The sequence below is a fragment of the Homo sapiens genome, chromosome 2 (assembly GCF_000001405.40).
Source record: "Homo sapiens chromosome 2, GRCh38.p14 Primary Assembly".
Classification (NCBI taxonomy): Eukaryota; Metazoa; Chordata; class Mammalia; order Primates; family Hominidae; genus Homo; species Homo sapiens.
Window position 1 is genome coordinate 97,855,485 of NC_000002.12, and position 27,292 is coordinate 97,882,776.

At 40.3% G+C, this 27,292-nt stretch overlaps 1 protein-coding gene across 8 annotated transcripts in view; it reads right to left on the reverse strand.

Annotated features, from left to right (window-relative positions):
- Nucleotides 1-27,292, reverse strand: part of TMEM131 (transmembrane protein 131) — a 239,613-nt gene that overhangs the window by 99,149 nt on the left and 113,172 nt on the right. For all 8 annotated transcript variants that reach the window (XM_047443844.1, XM_047443843.1, NM_015348.2 and 5 more), the window contains one exon: nt 3,820-3,943. In XM_047443844.1, the coding sequence (XP_047299800.1) occupies nt 3,820-3,943 (124 nt within the window). The remainder of the gene's footprint in view (nt 1-3,819; nt 3,944-27,292) is intronic.

A 27,292-nucleotide genomic window follows, 5' to 3' on the forward strand; every position in this document is an offset into this window, starting at 1 on the left:
AGGCTAGGAGTTTGAGACCAGCCTGGCCAACATGGCAAAACTCCATCTCTACCAAAAAATACAAAAATTAGCTGGGTGTGGTAGCAGGTGCTTGTAGTCCCAGCTACTGGGGAAGCTGAGGCACAAGAATTGCTTGAACCAGGAGGCAGAGGTTGCAGTGAGCTGAGATCATGCCACTGCACTCCAGCCTGGGTGACAGAGAGAGACCCTGTCTCAAAAAAAAAAAAAAAGGCATTATATTCTACTCTACAATATGCTTTTCTTACATATTAGCATGTCATGTATATTATTCCAGATCAATAGACAGAGACCTATTTCATTCTCTTTATTATCTGCATAAAATTCCATACTATTGCTACATCGCATTTTGTTAAATTCCCAAAAACATGCATGGAATCAATAGAATAATGTCCTTCTATATCTAATTAAAATAATCATTAATATTTATTAACACCCTTCAACCCATGAGAAGAGATTGATCATTAAGTATACTGAAATAAGTGAACTATAACATTTTAATTTTAGTCACAGACTGAAACAAAGTTTGTCCTAATCTTCAGTTTGTCTGAAAATTTAATTAATCAAAAGCTTCTAGTCAATAAAGAAAACATTTTTGTTTCCTACTGTGTGTAAGGCACCCCATTTCCACAATTGGACTTGTATAGAATATTATTATAAAATTCTGTATTTTCTGATGCAAAACATATATTGCATATTTTATGGCCTATATATAATATGGCCATGAAAGATGAATGGCCTAAATGCAGTCTATTACATAATTTTGAATTATAATTAGATAATTATATTCAATTAACAGATAATTATAGATAATTACAAAAACTTATATACAGAGAAATAAATTGTCATACAACCATACCCCGTACCTCTCTTAGTATTTCTATTCTTTTTGATTTTCAGGTGGTCTTAAAATCAAAACCTTAACAAGATTACTTGCATGTGCGTGTTAAAATATAATTATGTAAAACTTAGTTTGAACAATAATTAAAAAATAGTCTTTTCTGTATTTCCTACTTTTTGGTTAACGTACAGATAACAGTTAATAACTAAAAACTCTGAGTTATAGACAATGTTTTATTGTCAAAGAAATAAGACCTGACCAGGAATTCCGAGCATGACAAAGGCAATTAGAGTAAACATACAGAAAGATTTTGCTCTCCTCGACATAAGAAACTCTATTCATCTTTCCCCAAGGCTCTTATTGTTGGCATAAAGCTGAAGTGGAGAGGAAATAGGTTATTTCTTCCCCCAAGAGTTCATTCTATCTCTCCCCTCTACGTCTCGAGCTTAAGTCAGTGTCTTATTGTAGGGAAAAAAAGATGCAAAGCAAGAAGAAGAAAAAAGGATAAGAGGAGAGAGTAAAGATTTTGGCTATCTCCTTTGAGCTAAATCTTGACTATTTAAATGTGGATTTTGATAGGTGTAATTATTTTTATTGTTTAATTCCATCATCTGACAGCACAAAACAGATTGGTTAACTTGTTCCTTGATTACCTACACATTTAGTTTATCTTTTAAAAAATTTCCAGAGAAACTATTCTCTTTGCCTAACATTCATATATAGAAATAGTCCCTGGGAGAGTCTAGTTCAGAAACGTCAAGTTAGTAGCCTTTAGCCTATGTTGTTTGGCCCATACTGTCTTTCTAAAATTGAACTGATTTTCAATGTGTAAAGACTGGCAGATACATGAAACTTCTTATTTCTGACTCTTCTTGGGAATCAGCAGAACTGCACATGGGCTTAGACTCCCAACATGGTAACCACTGGGCTGGAGCCCGGTGGGGGCTGATCTCTTCGAATGGGTCACATGTTCTCTAGGACACCCCCACATCCCACTTGGCTTGCTTCCCTCATTTATATTGTTTACCTAGCCCAGTTTAAGAATCTGTTTGCAACTCTTGTTCTAGTCTCTGTATTACGGTAGCAATGAAAAAAATAAAAACCCTGGCCTTTAACACAGGTGAAGCTTGAAGTGTTCAGAAACAACAAAATATTGCTTGACTTAGCAAAAAGTTAACAAGTTAGAAATAAAATGTATAGTGCAATTGTGAACTATTTTTTAACTGATTCCATTTTTACTTCACAATTTTGCCCTTTAACCTAACCTGTCTCTGCATACTGACAATGCCTGAAAGCTGGATGGTTTCATTACACATAAATACATCTCTCTATAGAAGCTATTAGGTACAGGCCACTCACTGAAGTGTAATATGATATAAATCACTGGGGATGATAATAGAACACCGACACCTTCACCTTGGCACCTGTCACTCACTGCATGACTGGAACAGGCCTCTCTGGAGCTCGGCCTGTGTATACACAGGTCTCTCACAGCATTAGAATTATATTGTTGGAGGCTATTATTAATAGCACATTTATAAAAAGTGTGGAAATATCTTTTAGATAACAAAGAATAACTCAAGGGAAAGCTATTTTAAGAAATAATTTAGAAAAGGGATATTTCCACAAAGATCCCCCCAAAATTAAACTTTTTATTACCAGAAGTAATATGCTGATTTATCAGTCCCTTGTTTATAAAATACCTTTAAATGAAAAAGTTATGCTTTTTAATTTTACTCTAAAGTAAACAACATATGATGAAACAGGATTTTAGAGAGGAGAAATGTAAACATCAAATAAATGATATAAAAATGTAGCAACCAATATCTTACATGGCTAAAAAGGTTTCTTCTTTGTTACTCAATCACATCCCTTCAAAGGAGTCAGTGAAAATTCTGGGAAGATGAAATTCGGTCCTATTCATTTACTTCCCTCTGATCTTTGTTATTTTGTTAATTATTTTGGAAACCTATATATTAAAGTTTTAGGTATTCTCTCAAATTTAAAATGTACTTAAGATACCATTTTTATTTATTTGGTCAGAGAAAGTTTTTAATAATGAGTTTACATACTTCCTATGAAAATTACAAATAAAATTTTAGAGGATATTTGTGGTAAGGAGAACCTTAAATTGGAGCCCAAGACTTTATACCCTAATCTCTGAGGCTGTGACTAAGATGTAATTAAGGCTCCCAACCAGTTGCCTTTCAGTTAATCAAAAGGGAGACTATCCAGAGAGTCCTGACCCACTGACAGGAGCCCTTTAAAGCAGAGTTTTCTCACTGGAGGCAGAAGAGGACACCAGAGAGGTACAAAGTGCCAGGGGAAAGATGCGCTGTTGCTGGCTTGAAGATGGATGGCCCGTGAGAAGGAACCTGGAGGCCCTGAGGAGCTGAGAGGGGTCACTGACCAAGAGCCAGCAGCGAAACAAGGGTTTCAGTTCTACAACCACAAGGAACCTAATTCTCTCAACAACTTTAATGAGTTTGGAAGTGATTTCCCCTCAGAGCCTCTGGACAAGGACTCAGCCCGGAAGACATCTTAATTCAGCCTGATACACTGAACAAACAACCCAGTGTGCTTACAGTTTACAGAACTGTGTGCTAAGTGGCTGTTGCCACAAGTCTCAAGTTTGTGGTAATTTATTATGTAGCAAGAAACAACTAACACAATGCGAAGGAATTACCTATTATTAGGAAGGAAAATAAAATGTACTGAATGTAAGAATGCTACCTTTTTCAGAGTATTTAAGGTTCACTGCTGATTTGTTAAGCTGTTGCATGTTGAGAAAAACAATATGGTTAAGGGTAGAAGTAATCATTCTTAGGAAGTGAAACAAATCTAGGAACAGATTTGAAATATTCAAACCCAATTCTAATCACAGCAAGTTATTAATCAATAAAAATCTAGACATTTCAACTTCAAACTCAGGAAAGATCATGTATAGCAGAGAAACTTACCCTATTTTGAAAAAATGATGCATGAAAATGTGATGTTGTAGCAGATATTGATACTAAAGTAATCGTTTCTTCAGAACTAGGATTATGTAAGTAGACTTTTTCCATTTTTGGCATTCCAACTGGTCTGTAAAACAAAAAGAAAATTATCACAAATATTTCACAGATAATTCTGATTATTTCTAGTTGTTAAAAAATTAATCAAAATTGTTAGACAAATACATAGCTAAATATATTAAAATGCTTTCTGAATTTATATTTAAAATTACACATAAAAATGCATTTAGTCTTTCAATAAATATTTCCTGAGTGCCAATTATGTCACGTACAGTGCCAGGTGCTGGGATACAGTGAAGCAAGTTTCATCCCTGAGGCTCAGAACCCAGTGAGGCGGCGGACGGGGCACAAAATGGTCAGTTCCTTTTCTTTCTTTCTGTACCACCACCCGGCCTCCTACCAATTGTGTCCTCTTCTCAAATTCCACAGATACGTGCTCTTCATTTTAGGAGCAGAAACTGAGTAGCAAAGTTGTGTGAGGAAATCTTGTGAGTTAGGGGCTTTTACTATACTCATTTCATAGATGAGAATACTGGGGCACAGAAAAGTTAATTAACTTGTCAAAGGCACACTTGGAACCTGGATGTGAATCTAAGTCTTCTGGGTCTAGTCTGCGCTTTAACCGCCAGTACTGAACTGCCTCTTGTCAAACCTAAACACACTCAATGGTCTGAAATCCACAAATCCATTTTAATGACTCCCTTGGCATCCATGCCATGGTTTGCCTTAGAAGTGAAACTTTATTCTATAGTCCACTTACTACTTCTGTAGCTAATCTTATTGGTACAGGCCTCCTAACTTCTATAGCTTCCTTGCTTTTTCTAACTACCTATACACACCCACTAGTTACTAGGTTCCTTCCTAATCTCACATGACCCAACCTAAACAAGTAACCCTGTTTTCAATCCAGACCTTCCACCTGAGCCAGGCTAGTTCCATGGGCAAGTCCCCCACGGCTCTGCTAATCTGCCTGCCCTGTGTTTTTTTTCCCTATCCTCCTATACCAATCCAAACCCTCATTTCTAATTCAAATATACACCCTTCTTTCACAAGGTCCTCTCCTCATGCAATCATTTTGGTCCATGGTTTTCGAAATTTTACATTTTGTAATTCACATTTAAAGTATGCATATAAACCTCAAATCCCAAGCAGTTGAAAACGCAGAGCCAGAACTTCATTTTATATTTCGTTCAACTGTCCACCATGCTTTTGTTCTTCAAGAAGTTCTGTCTCTACCTTTTCTTCAATTTAGTTGCTCACCTCTAATTCAAGACTTGGGAAAGTTGATAAACAGTGAACAGCTGATAATTTTCAATAGTTTAAGAAAATGGAATGCAGGTGGAAGGGCAGGGCATGATGGCCAAATAGAAGGCTCCACCTTCATTGTCCCTTCTCCCCACAGAAATACTAAATTTAACAACTCTCTATGCCAAAAAAATCACCTTCATAAGAACCAAAAATCAGGTGAGCACTCACAGTACTTGGTTTGGTTTTAACTTCATATCACTGAAAGAGGCAATGAAGAGGGTAGGGAAGAAAATCTTGAATCGCTGATGCCACCCTTTCCCACCTACCCCACTCCACCCGGCAGCAGCCAAGTGGCACAGAGAGAGAGTCTGTGCACTTGGGAGAGGGACAGTGCAGCGACTGTGAGACTTTGCCATGAACTCAGTGCTGCCCTGTCACAGCAGAAAGCAAAATCTGGCTGAACTCAGCGGTCGCCTGCCCAAGGAGACAGCATTTAGATGAACTCTAGCAGTCCTAACTTGAGTTCCCATTAGCCTTGCCACCTCAGGCTAAAGTGTTCTGGGGCCCTAAATAAATTTGAAAGGCAGTCTAGGCCACAAGCACCGCAATTCCTAAGAGAGTCCTAGTGCCGTGCTGGGCTTGGAGCCAGTAGACTTGGGGGGCATGCAACCTACTGAGACATGAGCTGGGGTGCCCAAGGGAGTGCTTGCACCACTCCTCCTCCAACCCCAGGCAGCACAGCTCACAGCTCTGAAAGAGATCCCTTTCTTCTGCTTGACAGAGGAGAGGAGGGGGAAGAGAAACAAGGACTTTGTCTTGCATCTTGGATACCAGCTCAGCCACAGCAGGATAGGGCTGCTGTGGATTGGGGAGGGAGCCCAATTCCCTGAAGGGTGAGTCCCAGACCTGGCAGCATTTACCACAAGCTGACTGAAGAGCCCTTGGGCTTTAAGTGAATACTGGTGGTAGCCTGGCGGTATTCTCCGTGGGCTTGTGGTGGTGGTGGCCATGGGGTAGGGATCTTCTGCCTGTGGAAAGGGGAGGGAAGAGTGGGTAGGACTGCATCAAATGGGTTGAAGGCCAGCTCAGCTGCAGGACAACAGAACACTAGGTAGATTTCTAAGGTGTTTGACTCCAGTCCCTGGTCTGGACTGGTCTGGACACACCTACAGACCCACCTGGGACCTGGGGGAACTCACTGTCCTGAAGAGAAGGACACAAACCTGGCTGGCTTCACTATCTGCTGATTTTAGAGTCCTAGGGCCTTGAAGAAACACACCTGGAAGCCAGGGAGTGGTTACAGTGGGCCTTGGGCGAGACTCAGTGCTGTGTTGGCTTCAGGTCTGACCCAGTGCAGTTCCAGTGGTGGTGGCCACAGGGATGCTTTGTCATTCCACTCCCAGATCCAGGTGGCTCAGCACAGAGAGAGAGAGACTGTTTGTTTGGGAGACAGTAAGGAAAGAGAACAGGAATCTTTGCCAGGTAATCCAGAGAATGCTTCCTGATCTTATCCAAGACCACCAAGATGGTACTTCTACAAGTCTGCAAGAACCACAGTGTTGCTGGGCTTGGGGTGCCCCCTAATGCAGATATGGCTTAGATCACTACACTCAAGTCCTTCTGAATATCTGGAAAGCCTACCCAAGAAGAAGGGGTACAAACAAGCCCAGACTGTGAAGATTAAAATAAATACCTAACTCTTCAATGCCCAGACACTGATGAACATCTGCAAGCATTAAGACCAGCCAGGAAAACATGACTTCCTTAAATGAATTAAATAAGGCACCAGGGACCAATCCGAGAGAAACAGAGATATGTGACCTTCCAGACGGACAATTCAAAATGGCTGTTTTGAGGAAATTCAAAGAAATTCAAGATAACATAGAGAAGGAATTAAGAATTCTATCAGACAAATTTAATACAGACGCTGAAATAATTAAAAACAATCAAGCAGAAATTCTAGAGTTGAAAAATGCAACTGACATACTGAAGACTGCATCAGAGTTTCTTAATAGCAGAATTGATCAAGCAGAAGAAAGAATTAGTGAGCTTGAAGACAGGCTATTTGAAAATACAGTCAGAGGAGAGAAAACAAAAAAGAATTAAAAAGGAGGCATACCTACGGGACCTAGAAAATAGCCTCAAAAGGGGAAATCTAAGAGTTAATGGCCTTAAAGAGGAGGTAGAGAAGGAAATAGGGGTAGAAAGTTTATTTAAAGTGATAATAACAGAACACTTCCCAAATCTGGAGAAAGATATTAATATTGAACTACAAGATGGTCATAGAACACCAAGCAGATTTAACTCAAAGACTACCTCAAGGCATTTAATAATCAAACTTTAAAAAATCAAGGATAAAGAAAGGATCCTAAAATTAACAAGAGAAAAGAAACAGAATTAGGTACAATGGAGCTCCAATACCTGGCAGCAAACTTTTCAGTAGAAATCTTACAGGCCAGGAGAGACTGGCATGACATACTTAAAGTGCTGAAGGCAACAACAACAAAAAAAACCCCCACACTTTTACCCTAGAATAGTATATCTGGCAAAAATATCCTTTCCAGCGAAAATATCCTTCAAATATGAAAGAGGAATAAAGACGTTCCCAGACAAACAAAAGCTGAGGGATTTCACTAACATCAGATATATCTTACAAGAAATGCTAATGGGAGTTCTTTCAAACTGAAAGAAAGGGACATTAGTTAGCATCTCTCCAGGACGTTGGAGTGGGCACAGATTTCTTGAGTAATACTCCGCAAGCACCAGTAACCAAAGCAAAAATGGACAAATGGGATCATATCAACTTAAAAAGCTTCTGCACAGCAAAGGAAACAATCAACAAAGTTAAGAGACAGCTCACAGAATGGGAGGAAATATTTGCAAACTACCTATTTGACAAGGGATTAATAATAACTAGAATATATGAGGAACTCAAATGACTCTAAAGGAAAAAATCTAATAACCTGGTTAAAACATGGGCAAAGTATCTGAATAGGTATTTCTCAAAAGAAGACATACAAATGACAAAGAGGTATATAAAAAATGCTCAATATGACTATCAGGGAAGTGCAAATCAAAACCACAATGAGATATCTGATTCCAATTAAAATGGCTTTATCCAAAAGGCAACAACAAATACTGGCAAGGATATGGAGAAAAGGGAATGTTGGTGGGAATGTATTAGTACAAACACTAGGAACAACAGTTTGGAGGTTCCTCAAAAAACTAGAAGTAGAGCTACCATACAATCCAGCAATCCCAGTCATGAGTATACACCCAAAATAAAGGAAATCAGTATATTGTAGCGTTTTATGTACTCCCATGTTTATTACAGCACTATTCACAATAGCCGAGATTTGGAAGCCACCTAAGTGTTTATTACCAGATGAATGGATAAAAAAAATGTGGTACATATACACGATGGAGTACTATTCAACCATGAAAAATAATGAGATCCTGTCATTTGCAACAACCTGGATGGAGCTAGAGAACATTATGTTAAGTAAAATAAGCCAGACCCAGAAAGACAAACTTTCCATGTTCTCACTATTTGTGGGAGCTAAAAATCAAAACAATTGAACTCATGGAGATAGAGAGTAGGAGGATGGTTACCAGAGGCTGGGAAGGATAGCAGCGGGGATGGGTAGAAATGGGGATGATTAATACGTATAAAGAAACTGAAAGTATGGATAAGACCTAGCATTTCCTAGCACAACACGGTGACTACAGTTAAAAAAAAAATTAACTGTACCTTTTAAATAACTACAATAATATAAATGGATTGTTGGTAACACAAAAGATAAATGACTGAGGTGATGACTATCCCATTTACCTTGATGTGATTTTTATGCATTGCATACCTGTATCAAAATATCTTAGGTAATCCATAAATATATATATCTACTATGTACCCACAAAAATTTAAAATAATTTTAAAAAAAAGCAACAAATTAATCAGGGGCTAATTTAGGTTCCTTAAAGATAGTGATTTAGTACATGCTGGCTCTTCCTGCCATCTTCCTTCCCCACAACAATAATGCTGAAAAAATTTAGAAGTTAGAGGGAGGTACTGACTCCAAGAAATAACCAAAAAACAGTGAGAAGCCCTTGGGAGAACTGAAGGCTGCCTTAAAGTGGCAGGCAAAGGAAAGTGAGTGTCAATGGGCAGCCTGAGCTGACAACGAGAGGCTAGGCTATGAGAAGGCTTCCGAACTTTATTATTCTCCACTTTCTTCCCTGTCTGCCTTGAGATAGAGCCAGATCCTTCAACCTAGAATAGAAAAGCTTGCCAGGGTAAGGAGTTGATGAGCAGCTGCCCTTGAAATGCTCTCCTCTAACATCTCTCTCTGGTCCTCCACAGTCCTAGGGCTACTGAACTATGATTTAGGAAGACACCTTTGTCCCACGATGCTTCTGCCTAAGCATTGTCAGTTAAGAGTGGTGACAAATATGGGGCAATCAATAGTTTTTATGTGTATGTATGGAACTGGGGCTCTCCATTTTGGGGATTATCTCTCCTTTTAAATTCACAAGAAGAGACAAAGACCAGGGCTTGGCCTTCTGCCCTTCTCAATACGCATTACCAGACAGTAGCTCATAAGTTCACACACCCAAGTAACATGATATGTTTGGAGTAAATTAATTGGATAACACACACAATGTTGTGATAGATTGTAATGTGGTCTATTGCCATGGTCAAACTTGGAACAGAATGTTGAAGAGAAGTGACAGGAATAGATCTCCTTGTGTTGTTCTTGATGTAGGGGGAATTTTTTCATTCTTTCACCATTAAGTACGATGTCAGCCTTCAGGTTATCATAGATGCTCTTTATTAGGTTGAAGAAAATCCCGTCTATCCTAGTTTGTTAGGCATTATTATCATGAAAGGATGTTATTATCTCAAATGTTTTTTCTGTGTTTATTGACTTGATTATTGGTTTTCCCTGTATTGATTTTTTCAATGTTAAACCAACCCTGCATTCTTGAGATAAATGTCACTTGGTCATGGTGTACACTAGATTCTTTTTATAATCTATTAGCATTTTGTGGAGGATTTTTGCGTCTATATTCAGCAGAAGTATTTGTCTATATTTTCTTGTAGTGTCTTTGTCTGGTTTTGGTATTAGGGTAATACAGATCTAACAGACTAAGCTGGGAATTGTTTCCCTTTCTATTGTTTGGAAGAGTTTGGGAATAATTGGTATTAATTCTTCTTTGATTGTTTCATAGAATCCTTAAGTAAAGCTATGTGGAGCAGGGCTTGCTTTCTGGCAAGTTTTTGTTTTGTTTTGTTTTGAGATGGAGTCTCGCTCTGTCACCCAGGCTGGAATGAAGTGGCACGATCTCGGCTCACTGCAAGCTCCGCCTCCTGGGTTCACGCCATTCTCCTGCCTCAGCCTCCCGAGTAGCTGGGACTACAGGTGCCCACTAACACGCCTGGCTAATTTTTGTTGTATCTTTAGTAGACGTGGGGTTTCACCGTTAGCCAGGATGGTCTCGATCTCCTGACCTCGTGATCCGCCTGCCTCGCCTCCCAAAGTGCAGGGATTACAGGCGTGAGCCGCCGTGCCCAGCCACTTTCTGGCAAGTTTTTAAATGACTAATGCAAACATTTCACTTGTTATAAGTCTATTCAGATTTTCTATTTCTCCGTGAGTCAGTTTGTGTATTTTGGGTCTTTCCGGAAATCTGTCCATTTCAACTAAGTTAATGAATTAGCATACAGTTGTTCATAAAATTGCCCTGTAATCTTCTTTCTATAAAGTTGACAGTAATGTCACCTCCTACATTCCTGATTTTAGTAATTTGAGTCTTTTCTGTTTATTCCCTGGTCAGTATAGCTAAAGGTTTGACAATTCGATCTTTTCAAAGAACCAACTTTTGGTTTTGTTGATTTTGTTATGTTTTTCTATTCTGTATTTTATTTATTTCCTCTAGTTTTTATTATTTCTGTTTGCTTTAGTTGGCTCTTTTGCTAGTTTTTTTAGGGAGAAGGTTAAGTTTCTGATTTGAGATATTTTGGTGTGTATATGTTTCCTTCCCAGCAATGTTTTTGCTGCATCCCGTAAGTTTTGATATGTTTTGTTTTTGTTCATCTCGAAGTATTTTCTAATTTCCCTTTTGATTTATTCGATTCACTGATTATTAAGGAGTATGTTTATTATCCCAAGACTTTTTTGATTTCCAATTTATTTCAGTAGAAAATTAAGACAGAGAACATACTTTGTACAGGACGAGTATCCCTCTTACCTGAAATGCTTGGAACCATGAGTGTTTTGAATTTCAGATTTTTTCAGATTTTGAAATATCTGCATTACACTTATCAGTTAAGCAACCCTAATCTGAGAATCTGCAATTCTTCAATAAGCATTTCCTTTGAGCATCATGTTGGCACACAAAAAAATTCAGATTTTGGAGCATTTTGGATTTTCAGATTAGGAATGTTCAGCCTGTATTGTTTAAATCCATTTAAAATTACTAGTGTTTGTATTATGGATTAGCATATGGTCTATCTTGGAGAACATTCTACATATGCCTGAGCTGAATAAGTATTCTGTTGTTGAGCATGGTGTTCTACAGATGTCTACAAGTCAAGTTGGTTTATACTTTTTCCAAGTCTTCTATATCTTTATCTTCTGCCTAGATGGTATAGCCATTATTGAAAATGGGGATACTGAAGACTGTCATTATTACTGTCGCATTGTGTATTTCTCCCTTCAGTTCTGGCAGTTTTGCTTCATATATTTTGGGTGAGTCTCTGTTATTAGTTATATATATATATGTTTATAATTGTTATATCTCCCTGGATTGACCCTTTTGTAATCATAAAATGTCCATCTTTATTTGTAGTAACTTTTTGGTTTTAAAGTCTGTGTTGTCTGATATGCTTTTCCCCTAGTGATGCCCTGCTGTACAAGTAGTGGTCACTGGGGAAGGGGTGGTAGACCCTGGTCTTCTCAGCTTGCTCTTCCTAGTGTGGAACTTATCCTACTAGTGAGGTGAGCAAGATTGGGTTCCCCAGGTTTCAGGCCTGCTGCATCTGGGATACAGCATCTGTCCTAGAGTGGGGTGGGTGAAGAGAGACCCAGTCCTTTCTGAAATGTGCCTGAAATAGAACTTCTGCAACATAAAGTTGGAGATGATGAGAAATGCTAGCAGCCCTCCCTTCTCAGGGTGAAACTGCAGTCCCAGAGTATAAACTGGGGTTAGAGGGAGCTTCTATAACAAGGAGCTGGGGCTTGAGGGGTATGTGGTGGGGAGCATAATAGAATAGGTTGTAGCCCAAATGCCAGAGACTGCCACTGTTCTTATGAAGATTTACAACATTTTTTTGAATGAATAATTTCCTGCAACTTTAATAACTTTTTAAAAAATAATTCTCATTAGTTAAAGTACTGTCTGTTGAGGTGGTCCATTGAGCTCCTTACTCCATTCTTAAAATCCCATGCCCTAAGGGTATATTTGCTTCAAGTATTCGGAAGCTCCATTGTTAGATGCATGCATATTTCGAGTTGTTATTTTTGTGTATCTAAATTAACCCCTCTATATTTATGTAATATCCCCCTTTATTCCCAGTAATAGTGCTTGTTCTGAAGTTTACTTTGTCCAAATTAACACAGCCCTTTCACGGTTCTTTTGGTTAGTGTTTACATGGTAATATCTTTTCCATCCTTTTATTTTTAACTTGTCTATGTCTATCTATCTATCTATCTATATATAAAATATTGTCTATGTCTTTATATATATACACACACACACATATATGTAGGTTTTCTGCTAGTTGTGTCTCGCTTTTTTATTCAATGTGACAATCTTGGTCTCTTAATTGATGTGTTTAGATTATGTATATTTAATGCAATTATTGATAGAGTTAAAGTCTATCATCATGCTAGTTACTTTATTTTTTTTACTAACTAGGAAAGCCGTGCCCACAGACTGCACTGGAGAGGTAGGATCCCACAGGAGAGTTTCTCTGCTTTACCCAGGGAAGCAAAATCCTGGCCAAAAATCATTCTGTGGCTGACGTTCTGTAGATTGCACATTATGAGGTCCACAATCATTCTGTGGCCTAACAGTTCAGAACAACAACAACAACAAAAAGTGGGAACAGGGTTTGGGTCCTGAGGCAGTGATAGATAGGTATCCAGAAAAGGTCTGTAAGAACATATTTGGAGTTAGACAGTAGAACTCCTCAAACCAAGAAGCACTCAAATTGTTGAATTCCTCTTGCCTCCGTGGAGACTCAGATCCTTTAAATGACAGGCTCATCAATCCCAGGTGGGGTTACGACACCATGAAACAATTAGGGAAATGGGTACAAACCACAAGGGGCCTCAAACTACAGCCACGATACTGCAGGAAGCTCAATCGATACAATATAGAAGATAAAAGTCTTCTTCCTCAAGCTTCATATAGACATTTACGTAGAAAACAACAGCGCACAGAAATAAAAACATCCTCCTTGCATCCTGAAAGTTCACCAACTGTATGCTTTCTTAAGAAAAAAAATGCTTTTACAATTCAAATAGACTTCAGGCTAACTGGCAACCATTCATGCACATCCCTGTGAATTCCTTCTCAATGTTTTTCCTTGTGTAACTTTAGTACAATCAATCTCAGCTAAGATAAAGAAGACAGGATACATAATGGACAGGTAATTTGGGGTATCCTTCAAGAAGACAGGATTGGAGGTGGCCTCCTGCAGGAGAGGGCTGTGGGGAAAAGAGACAAGTGTGGAAGTGCTAGGAGCCTGGAAGCAGGAGTGGATCAGAATGCTTGATCTGCAATGCTTCTGAGGCTGGCCCTGCCCTTTCTTCCAGGGATCAAAGAGGAAAGGCATGGGCCACATCCCATAGAAATGAATGAACCCTTGCTCAGAGGAGATGAGTCATCTACTTATGTTGTTCAAAGTAGCTTGGAGTAACAAGAACAGAGGGAAGCTGTCAGGAAGGACATCAGCAGGCTATTTTAGTCGTTGCGTGCTCAAACAGGGCAGGCTGCCTCTAGCTCTGGGCAGTCCACACCACAGGAAGCAAAGGGAGCGGGCACTCCTTGGACAGACTTGCTCACAGACCTCATAGGTCTGTGAACAGCTTGCCTTCCTCCTCACCATCCTCCGTTCCTTTGGTGACATGAGCAGAATCTAGACCATGGAAAGTACATGACCATTTGTAAACTCACAATGTGTTGCTTTTCTATACTATGTAACAAATTACCACAAACTTTGAGGCTTAAAGCAATGCCCGTTCATTATCTTACAATTCTGTAAGAATGCCTGGTTTATCTGCTCGAGGTCTCACAAGGAAATGCAGGTGTCAGCAAGATGTGTCCTCATCTGAAGCTCAAAGTTCTTTTAAGTTCATTCTGGTTGTTGATAAAATTCGGGTTGCTTTCAGTCTTTTGCCATATGACCCTACCATTTTCAAAAGCAGCACGAAGAAACTCTCTTGCATCCAATATCTCCCTTACCTCAAATACCTGACATTTCTGTTTCTGATTGCTAAAGCCAGATTTTAAAGGTTCGTGGATTAGGTCAGGCTCACCCAAAAAAAATCTATCTCAAAGGTCAATTGATTTGGGGCCTTAGTTACAGTTTCAAAATCCTCTATAGCAACACCTAGATTGGTGTTTGATTGAATAATTGGGAGAATGTATGTACAGGTACATTAGAGGCCAGAAATTTTTAGAATTCTGGTCTATCTTAGAATTCTGCCTATCATAAGCAGGATATATGACTACTTGGCTGAACAGGTAAAATTTAAAAATAAAACAAAGATTTCCAAATGCCTGCCAGTGCTGGTCCTGTTTGTTTCCATTACTGGCTGTCCAAAGACAGAAGTAGGGCCAAAAGGGACAGTGTGAGGTATTTATAAACCAAGCTGAAGCAGGCATACAGCTGTTCTCTGTGCTGCTGCAGCAGAACTACGAACTGTCCATATTTTCGAATAGTCTGAGGCTCAAAAGAATTAGAAAGCAGCAGCTATGAATTAGAGACTAGCTTGGAAAGTAAACTGCAATTTTGTGGTCAAGGGCAAGTTTCCTACACCACAGAAAGATGACACTGCAGTGCCAGGAAACAGCTGAAGAAATGGCTTAGCAACTGCCCTGAGGCAGACCTTATGAATGACAGTGACACAGCACTCTGTTAAGCATAGTTTTGGGCAGGAAGTCGGGTCAAATCAATATGCAGTACTTTGTACCACTCAATTACCGCAAAATACTACTATCCTCCTTTCAAAAACATTTTAGATTGAAGGCTGAGCTGGGGAGTTGATGTAAAATCTTTTATGGAAAGATTGGGTAGGTAGGAATTGAAAAGCTAAGAGGCACCAAGTATCCCTTTAGGGGGCCTATTTGATTTTCTTGGAATACCAAAAAGTCATCAGAGAAAAATGCCTTTCATAAACTAAATTTATCTTGACAATAAAGACATCTATTTTTAGCAATAGTCTATTCAACGTCCATTTTTTTTATAGCCATGAAGTACCTACTTTAACCTTCAGATCTGAAATCAAGATTTTCTGAATGTAATAATTATATAAGCCAAAGATTTTAGTAAACCAAGTTTCTACCCAAAGCATCTTTTACAGCCTGCAATGAATGTCTGGAGTGAAACTGCCTTTGCAAAATTAGAACAGTAAGAGAAATCTGACATAGTTGACGCCATCTTGCTTCTGACCTCCAAGCTGTCCTTTGTCATTTCTGGGAACAGGCAAAGCTAACTTTGGGAGGAATTTAGTTTATAGTTTAACATTAAAGCAAGGATGATAATAACCTTTCCCAAAACGAAACTGCTTCTGAAAACTAATGAAAAGCCATGAGGTTAGGGTTATCAGAGGGGCCTGAGATAACCGGACATTGTCTGGGAGATCATAAGGTTTCTAAATTTCCCAATCACTCCTGTAGGAAGCATTACTACTACAGAACCTAAGGTTGGTCTTTTGAGAGATCCTTTCAGATGTTTGCATTTCTGACAACTGGCTGACTCAACCGGTCCTGTGGCCCCCACCCAAAGGCTGACTCAGAGCAGGAGGACCATATTCCACATCCCTATGATTCCATCCTCAACCAATCAACATTCCTCATTCCCTAGCCCCCTGCCCACAAAACTATCCTTGTAAAACCCTAATCTCCAAGCCTTCAGGGAGACTGATTTGAGTAATAACTCTATCTCCTGTGTGGCTGGCCTCATGTTAGTAAAACTCTTTATTGCAATACCATGGTCTCAGTGAACTGGTTTTGTCTGTATAGCAGGCAGGAAGAATCCATCAGGTAATTATAGGAGTTGCTATGGAAACAGAAAAACATTTAACAGCACTGGCATAAAAATGGGGTCGGGGGGGGAGTGGAGAATGGGAGGGGAGCCAGTGGTGTCTAGATTGCCCCATGGGATTGTTACAAGGAGAGAAGAGGAGAGAAAGGGGGAAAAGAAAAGAGGGGGAGGGAAAGGGAGGAAGGGCAGAGAGAATACAGGTAGGCTTAAAGAATAAATTTAAACAAAAAGTCTGAAAACAAAGAAAGCTAATTTGATCTGTTTATTGTGAAACAAATTCTACAGGAGAGTAGGAATGATCAGGGTAATGACAGGAGTCAGCACTGGGGTCAAGAAAGAAGCAAGGGAAATTCTAGATGCACCCTTCCTGAAGGGCCTGATACTTTTTAGAAGATGCCATGAGTTAGAAAGACTCTAACTCCATTTTTGATATTCAACTGTTGATAGTTTTCAAGCCCCAATGATGCCCCTTTACCTTTAGCCCCAAACCTGGGCAAGCCAATCAAAAAGCCCTTCTCTCTCGGAGCTAGTGAGAAGTTCCAATCATGCAAACCCACTCCAGCCTTGCTCCCCAACCGCAATAAAAACCAATTGCTGGCAAGATGGCCGAACAGGAACAGCTCCAGTCTGCGGCTCCCAGCGAGATGGATGCAGAAGGCGGGTGACTTCTACATTTCCAACTGGGACTGGTTAGACAGTGGGTACAGCCCACGGAGGGCGAGCCGAAGCAGGGTGGGGCATCACCTCATCTGTGAAGCACAAGGGGTCAGGGAATTTTCTCTTCTACCCAAAGGAAGCTGTCAGGGACTGAACCTGAGGAACTCTGGCACAGATACTGCGCTTGTCCCATGGTCTCTGCAAGCTGCAAACCAGGAGATTCCCTCCGGTGCCTACCCCACCAGGGCCCTGGGTTTCAAGCACAAAACTGGGCGGCCGTTTGGGCAGTCACCGAACTAACTTCATGAGTTCTTTTTTTTCCATACCCCATTGGCACCTGGAACACCAGCAAGACAGAACCATTCACTCCCCTGGAAAGGGGTGCTGAAGCCAGGGACCCAAGTGGCCTGGCTCAGTGGGTCCCACCCCCATGGAGCCCAGCAAACTAAGATTCACTGGCTTGAAGTTCTCGCTGCCAGCACAGAAGCAGTCTGAGGTCAACCTGTGACAATGGAGCTTGGTGGGGGGAGGGGCGTCCGCCATTGCTAAGGCTTGAGTAGGTGGTTTTACAATCACAGTGTAAACAAAGTCACAAGTCACGGGGAAGTTCGAACTGGGCAGAGCCCACTGCAGCTCAGCACGGCCGCTGTGGCCAGACTGCCAGATTTCTCTTCTCTGGGCAGGGCATCTCTGAAAAAAAGGCAGCAGCCCCAGTCAGGGACTTATAGATAAATCCCCAGCTCCCTGGGACAGAGCACCTGGGGAAAGGGGCAGCTGTGGCCGAAGCTTCAGCAGACTTAAACATCCCTGCCTGGCAGCTCTGAAGAGAGCAGTGGACCTCCCAGCACAGCGTTCGAGCTCTGCTGAAGGTCAGACTGCCTCCTCAAGTGGGTCCCTGACCGCCGTGTATCCTCACTGGGAGAAAACTCCCAGTAGGGGCCAACAGACACCTCATACAGGAGAGCTCTAGCTGGCATTTGGCAGGTGCCCCTCTGGGAAGAAGCTTCCAGAGGAATGATCAGGCAGCAATCTTTGCTGTTCTGCAGCCTCCGCTGCTGATACCAAGGCAAACAGCGTCGGGAGTGGACCTCCAGCAAACTCCAGCAGACCAGCAGCAGAGGAGCCTGTCAGAAGGAAAACTAACAGAAAGGAATAGCACGTCCACTCAAAGATGCCATCCAAAGGTCACCAACATCAAAGACCAAAGGTAGATAAATCCAAAGATGGGGATAAACCAGCACAAAAAGGCTGAAAATTCCAAAAATCAGAAGGTCTCTTCTCCTCCAAAGATCACAACTCCTCGCCAGCAAGGGAACAAAACTGGATGGAGAATGAGTTTGACGAACTGACAGAAGTAGGTTTCAGAAGGTGGGTAATAACAAACTCCTCCAAGCTAAAGAAGTATGTTCTAATCCAATGCAAGGAAGCCAAGAACTTTGAAAAAAAGGTTAGACAAATTGTTAACTAGAATAACCAGTGTAGAGAAGAACATAAATGACCCGATGGAGCTGAAAAATACAGCACGAGAACTTTGTGAAGCATACACAAGTTTCAACAGCCGAATTGGTCAAGTGGAAGAAAGGATATCAGTGATTGAAGATCAACTTAATGAAATAAAGAGCAAAGACAAGATTAGAGAAAAAGGAATAAAAAGGAATGAACAAAGCCTCCAAGAAATATGGGACTATGTGAAAAGACCAAATCTACGTTTGATTGGTGTACCTGAAAGTGACAAGGAGAATGGAACCAAGCTAGAAAACACTCTTCAGGATATTATCCAGGAGAACTTCTCCAATCTAGCAAGACAGGCCAACATTCAAATTCAGGAAATACAGAGAACAGCACAACAACACTCCTCGAGAAGAGCAACCCTAAGACACATAATCGTCAGATTCACCAAGGTTGAAATGAAGGAAAAAATGTTAAGCGCAGCCAGAGAGAAAGGTTGGGTTACCCACAAAGGGAAGCCCATCAGACTAACAGCGGATCTCTCTGCAGAAACTCTACTAGCCAGAAGAGAGTGAGGCCCAATATTCAACATCCTTAAAGAAAAGAATTTTCAACCCAGAATTTCATATCCAGCCAAACTAAGCTTCATAAGTGAAGGAGAAATAAAATCCTTTACAGACAAGCAAATGCTGAGATATTCTGTCACCACCAGGCCTGCCTTACAAGAGCTCCTGAAGGAAGCACTAAATATGGACAGGAACAACCAGTAGCATCCACTGTAAAAATATACTAAATTGTAAAGAACATCAACACTATGAAGAAACTGCAACTAACAGGCAAACAACCAGCTAGCATCATAATAACAGGATCAAATTTACACATAACAATATTAAACTTAAATGTAAATGGGCTAAATGCCCCAATTAAAGACACAGACTGGCAAACTGAAAAAAGAGTCAAGACCCATCAGTGTGCTGTACTCAGGAGACTCATCTCACATGCAAGGCACACAGGCTCAAAATAAATGGATGGAGGAATATTTACCAAGCAAATGGAAATGAAAAAAAGCAGGAGTTGCAATCCTAATCTCTGATAAAACAGACTTTAAACCAACAAAGATCAAAAGAGACAAAGAAGGGCATTATATAATGGTAAAGGGATCAATGCAACAAGAAGAGCTAACTATCCTAAATATATATGCACCCAATACAGAAGCACCCAGATTCATAAAGCAAGTTCTTAGAGACCTACAAAGAGACTTAAACTCCCACACAATCTAATAGTGGGAGATTTTAACACCCTATTGTCCGTATTAGACAGATCAACAAGACAGAAAATTAACAAGGATATTCAGGACCTGAACTCAGCTCTGGACCAAGCAAACCTAATAGACATCTACAGAACTCTCCACCCCTAATCAACAGAATATATATTCTTCTCAGCACCACATCACACTTATTCTAAAATTGACCACATAATTGGAAGGAAAACACTCCTCAACATATGCAAGATAACAGAAATCATAACAAACAGTTTCTCAGATCACAGTGCAATCAAATTCGAACTCAGGATTAAGAAACTCACTTAAAACTGCACAACTACATGGAAGTTGAACAACCTGCTCCTGAATGGCTACTGGGTAAATAATGAAATGAAGGCAGAAAAAAGATGTTCTTTGAAACCAATGAGAATGAAGACACAATGTACCAGAATCTCTGGGACACATTCAAAGCACTGTGTAGAGGGAAGTTTACACCACTAAATGCTCATCAGAGAAAGCAGGAAAGATCTAAAATCGAAAACATAACTTCAAAATTAGAAGAACTAGAGAAGCAACAGCAAAAAAATTCAAAATCTAGCAGAAGACAAGAAATAACTAAGATCAGGGCAGAACTGAAGGAGATAGAGACACAAAAAACCCTTCAAAAAAATCAATGAATCCAGGAGCTGTGTTTTTGAAAAGGTCAACAAAATAGATAGACCACTAGCCAGACTAATAGAGAAGAATCAAATAGATGCAATAAAAAATGATATAGGGGATATCACCACTTATCCAACAGAAATACAAGCTACCATCAGAGAATACTATAAACACCTCTATGCAAATAAACTACAAAATCTAGAAGAAATGGATAAATTCCTGGACACATACACCCTCTCAAGACTAAACCAGGAAAAAGTCGAATCCCTGAATAGACCAATAACAAGTTCTGAAATTGAGGCAGTAATTAATAGCCTACCAACCGAAAAAGTCCAGGACCAGACAGATTCACAGCCAAATTCTATCAGAGGTACAAAGAGGAGCTGGTACCATTCCTTCTGAAACTATTCCAAACAACAGAAAAAGAGGGAATCCTCCCTAACTCATTTTATAAGGCCAGCATCATCCTGATCCAAAACCTGGCAGAGACATAACAAAAAAAGAAAATTTCAGGCCAATATCCCTGATGAACACTGGTGCAAAAATCCTCAATAAAATACCGGCAAACTGAATAGCACATCAAAAAGCTTATCCACCACGATCAAGTTGTCTTTATCCCTGGGGTGGAAAGGCTGGTTCAACATAAGCAAACCAATAAAGGTAATCCATCACATAAACAGAACCAATGACAAAAGCCACAGGATTATCTCAATAGATGCAGAAAAGGCCTTCAACAAAATTCAACACTCCTTCATGCTAAAAACTGTCAATAAACTAGGTATTGATGGAACATATCTCAAAATAATAAAAGCTATTTATGACAAACCCATAGCCAATACCATACTGAGTGGGCAAAAACTGGAAGCATTCCCTTTGAAAACTGGCACCAGACAAGGATGCCCTGTCTCATCACCCCTATTCAACATAGTATTGGAAGTTCTGGCCAGGGCAATCAGGCAAGAGAAAGAAATAACGGGTATTCAAATAGAAAAGGAGGAAGTCAAATTGTATCTGTTTGCAGATGAAATGATGATACGTTTAGAAAACCCCATCGACTCAGCCCAAAATCTCCTTAAGCTGCTGATAAGCAACTTCAGCAAAGTCTCAGGATACAAAATCAATGTGCAAAACTCAGAAGCATTCCTATACACCACTAACAGACAAACAGAGAGCCAAATCATGAGTAACTCCCATTCACAATTGCTACGAAGAGAACAAAATACCTAGGAATCCAACTAACAAGGGATGTGAAGGACCTCTTCAAGGAGAACTACAAACCACTGCTCAAGGAAATTAAGAGAGGACACAAACAAATGGAAAAACATTCCATGCTCATGGATAGGAAGAATCAATATCATGAAAATGGCCATACTGCCCAAAGTAATTTATAGATTCACTGCTATCCCCAACAAGCTACCACTAACTTTCTTCATAGAATTGGAAAAAACTACTTTAAACTTCATATGGAACCAAAAAAGAACCCGTATTGCCAAGACAATCCTGGGCAAGAAGAACAAAGCTAAAGGCATCACACTATGTGACTTCAAACTATGCTACAAGGCTACAGTAACGAAAACAGTATGGTACTGGTACCAAAACAGATATATAGACCAACGGAACAGAAGAAAGGCCTCAGAAACAACACCACACATCTACAACCATCTGATGTTTGACAAACCTGACACAAACAAGCAATGCAGAAAAGATTCCCTATTTAATAAATGGTGTTGGGAAAACTGGCTAGCCATATGCAGAAAACTGAAACTGGACCGCTTCCTTGTACCTTATACAAAAATAAACTCAAGATGGATCAAAGACTTAAACATATGACCTAGGACCATAAAAATCCTAGAAGAAAACCTGGGGAATACCAATCAGGACATAGGCATGGGCAAAGACTTCATGACTAAAACACCAAAAGCAATGGCAACAAAAGCCAAAATTGACACATGGGATCTAATTAAACCAAAGAGCTTCTGCACAGCAAAAGAAACTATCATCAGAGTGAACAGGCAGCCTACAGAATGGGAGAAAAGTTTTGCAATCTATCCATCTGACAAAGGGCTAACATCCAGAATCTACAAGGAACTTAAACAAATTTACAAGAAAATAAGATCCCATTAAAAAGTGGGCAAAGGATAGGAACAGACACTTCAAGAGAAGACATTTATGCAGCCAACAAACATATGAAAAAATGCTCATCATCACTGGTCATTAGAGAAATGCAAATCAAAACCACAATGAGATACCATCTCACACCAGTTAGAATGGCGATCATTAAAAAGTCAGGAAACAACAGATGCTGGACAGGATGTGGAGAAACAGGAACGCTTTTACACTGTTGGTGGGCAGGTAAATTAGTTCAACCATTGTAGAATACAGTGTGGTGATTCCTCAAGGATCTAGAACTAGAAATACCATTTGACCCAGCAATCTCATTACTGGGTATATACCCAAAGGACTATAAATCATTCTACTATAAAGACACATGCACACGTATGTTTACTGTGGCACTATTCACAATAGCAAAGACTTGGAAGCAACTCATATGTCCATCAATAGGCTGGATAAAGAAAATGTGGCACACATACAACATGGAATACTATGCAGCCATAAAAAAGGATGAGTTCATGCCCTTTGCAGGGACATGGATGAAGCTGGAAATCATCATTCTCAGCAAACTACCACAAGAGCAGAAAACCAAACACTGCATGTTCTTACTCGTAAGTGGGAGTTGAACAATGAGAACACATGGACATAGAGGGGGGAACATCATACACCAGGGCCTGTCAGGGGCTGGGGGGCTAGAGGAGGGATAACATTAGGAGAAGTACCTAACGTAGGTGATGGGTTGATGCATGCAGCAAACTACCATGGCACATGTGTACCTATGTAACAAAACTGCACGTTCTGCACATATACCCCAGAACTTAAAGTATAATAATTAAAAAATAATAATAATGAGCAAACAAACAAAAAAACCAATCTAGTCCTTCTCTGCTCTCTCCAGCCCTTTCTCACATCTGCCTACCATGGTCATCCCCTAGAATCTTCATTCGGTGAGTACAATAAACTTTTTCATTCTGCTGGTGTCTGTGCATATGTGACATCAACAGTCTTGATATCTGAACCAAATTTTGGGTGGGGCTCCATCTCATCTCAGCAGGATTAACACCACCCTGGAAGCAGAGAGAAGGCAGTTTCCACCCCTGCTAGTTAGACTGGGGAAAGGCTTGCTTTACAACAGAGCTTCCCAGTGGAGTGAAGACACAGAATGCAAGGCTGAAGAGCAGTCAGCGAATTTCTTCCCACTGCTGTAGGGAAAGGATACCGGCAGTGAGAGAGAATAAGCCAATACATAGACAGGCAGAAATAAGAGACAGAAGACTCCTGGTGGTGTTAGAGCAAGTGAATGCTGTTGTTCCCAGGTGCCAGCTGCATCTCTGACTTTCCTGCAGATATATTATGGTCCTCAGTATTCCAATATATTATCATTTTTGCCTCAGTTAATTTCAGGTTTCTGTCACTTACAACCAAATAACTACAGCCTTGACCAAAACAGAGGGAGATTAAAAGCACTCCATAATTACTATTAATTTTCTCACAATGTCAATAATGGTACTGTAGTTATGCAGAATGTCCTTATACAGTTGACTCTTGAACAATATGGGTTTGAACTATGAGGGTCCACACGGATTTTCTTCCGCCTCTGCCACCTGTGACAGCAAGACTATCACTTCCTCCTCAGCCTACTCAATGTGAAGATGAGGTGAAGACCTTTACGATGATCCACCTCCACTTAATGAATGAGAATTTCCTTACTGTCTTCTTAACATTTTTTTTTAGCTTCCTTTATGGTAAAAATACAGTACATATAATGCCTATTACATACAAAATACATGTTAACTGACTGCTTATATTATCAGTAAGGCTTCTGGTCAAAAGTAGGCTATTAGTAGTTAAGTTTTTGGGGAGTCAAAAGTTACATGTGAATTTTCAACTACGCAGTGTGGTGGGGAGTCCGTGCCCCTAACCTGCCATGTTGTTAAAGGATCAACTGTATGGCAGTGTGTGCTCAAGAATTAGGAATGAAAGGTCATGAGGTCTGCTGCTTTCAAATGATTCAAAAACAGAAGTATAAATATGCAAAAATGGCAATAATCCCTGAGTTTATGTTAAAAGTACATTCATTATTTGTTCTTTCTACTTTCCTATATGTATGAAAACTTCCATAAAAAACTATCTTTAGAGGGGAGACTCAAGGTATGAATAACACGCCCAGCCCTTATGAAGATCAGTGCTTTCAGGAAATGACATGTAGTTCTCCCCAGGTGTGGAGGACATATAAGGAAGGTAAAAAGGCAGGTTTTATAATGAATTTAGCATTTATCCTGAAGGCAAATAGGAAACCATTAAAGGAATTTTGGGGGAGGGGAAGTGGGAAAAACGACATGATCAGATTTTGATGTGAAAAACATTTCCCTGTTGACAGCATGAATCCTGACTAGAAAGTGGCAGGCATATGGTAACAGTCCAGATGAGAAATGATGTGGACCTGAGTTAAGAGGAGAGGGGTAAGTAGTGAGGATTAGAGCAGAACAGACATGAAAAATTCATAGGATTCCTTCCTGGAATGGATTTGACAGGAAGGGGATGGAGTGCTGTGAGGGAAAGGGAGGAATCCAGGAAGCCTGAATATTCTGGCTTTGGTGACTGTGGTACCGTTCATGGACTGGAGATACAGAAGAGCAAGACATGGTGAGTTTAGTGTGGTGTTGGAGACACATGGTAAGTGAGGGGGGATGACAGAGATTGGGAGATTACAGGCATATGTCAAAGGCATGGAAGAGCCCACCCAGTAAGAAAGCGCAGAGTTGGTTGAAATGAGGTGAAGAAAGAAATGCAGCCGCACACAACCACAATTTGGGGATACACAGAGGAACATAAACCCTTGAAAGATAATTTTAAAAATAGCCTCAGGCACAGGAGGAAAACATGGACAATGGTTCACAAGGGTATAGGCAGGGAAAGATCTGAGAGGGAGGAAGAAGTCAGTGGTGCCAGGTGCCATGCACTCTCCAACAGATCAAAGTGTCACCAAACAAAAAGACCTAAAGTAGGGCAGTTCCAGGGTTAATTTAGCAGTTCGACAACATTATGAAAGACGCAGGTTCTTTCCATCTTTCCACTCTGTTAGACCAGTTGCCTTTCATGACTGCATGGCATCAGTCCTCCGGCTAGAACCCCTCACTGATTGCAAGATGATTGCCGCAGTATCCTAGGCACTGCATGCAGACAGTATCTGGCATAGAAGATGGGCGTTTCTTTCTTGCGACTCTTTTTTTTTTTTTTGAGACAGGGTCTGGCTCTGTTGCCCAGGCTGGAGTGCACTGTTGTGATCTCAGCTCACTGCAACCTCTGCCTCCTGAATAGCTGGGACTACAGGTGCACACCACCATGCCCAGCTACTTTTTAAAATTTTTTGTAGGGATTGGGTTTCACTATGTTGCCCAGGCTGGTCTCAAACTCTTGAGCTCAAGCAATCCTCCCACCTCGGCCTCCCATAGGGTTGCGATTACAGGCGTGAGCCACAGCATCTGGCTGTGACTCTTTTTAGAGTAAAAAAAACAATCCTTCCCCAGAAACACCTCAGTTGACCTGCCCTCCTGTTACAGAGTAAAACTGGGTCACACTCACCCTTGAACAGACCACAAGCAATAATAATGGAATTATTACAACTGACTTATCAAGATTTACCCCTGAGCTAGGGACAGGGTGCCAGGCCTAAAGGCTGGATAACTGCAAAAAAAAAAAAAAAAGGGGGGGGGGCGGGGGAGGTAGATGTTGAATAGGTAGCTAACAGGTATTAAGAGGGGCCATTCTGTATTACAGTATTCTAATCTTTTTTCACTTAATAACATTCATGTTAAAAAGAGCAGTGATTTGTGGGGGCAAAAATAAATGCAGTTAATGCAGGAAAAAACTTGAATCAACAAGTTGTATGCTTCTGAGAGTGGAAAAAACATACAATAACTTTAAAAGAGGATCTATTCTAAAATATCTGTTTTCCTTTAGCAGTCACTTTCTGAAGACATTGATAATTTACTTTCTGCAGTGAAAATGTACAAATTTCATTTTCTTTGTCCCAAGACTACTTTCAAGTTTCACAAAAAGAACCTTACCTTAAAATTACTAAGCAAATTCTTTCAACCATATCTCTCTTCATTTTCTAGAGTCAGAAGTTCAAAATTTAGGAACCTCTTTGTTTGTATCTATGGGGTAGCTTTGTGATATCAACTTGACTTGAACTAAAGTCCCCAGAACTCCCTTTCTAGTATGTTTCTGGTTAGGGTGAGTTAAAAGTAATATTATCTCCTTAGAGACAGAAGAGAAAAGTGAGACAGCAGCTATTTTGTAGCATAATATACCTTTTCCCAGTTATTCAAACACTAACCTAAGTGCTGCTGGGAGAGATTTTGCCAACATAATTAAAGTCCCTAATAGGCTGATTTCAAGTTAATAAAAACGATTATTCTAGGTGAGTCTGTGACTTTGTCACTGGGAAGCACTTTCAAAGAAAGCTTAGGCCCTGTCTGAGCCAAGAGGCTTCAAACAGCAGCTAGACCTGCAATTTCTCTCCTCTCCTCAGGATCTTCCCTGGATACTTATCTGTGGACAAGAAACTTCAGTCTGTGCCCTTGGGGTTCCAGCCCGCTATCCTCCCTTACTGACTCCCTGGCCCTGTGGGCTTTGAGCTTGCTTAACCAGCTCTCTCAAATGCATAAGCCAATTCCTTATTATAAACCCATGTGCGTGTATATATACATATACATTCATTTAAAATCTGACTGGTTCTGCCTCTGATTGAACCC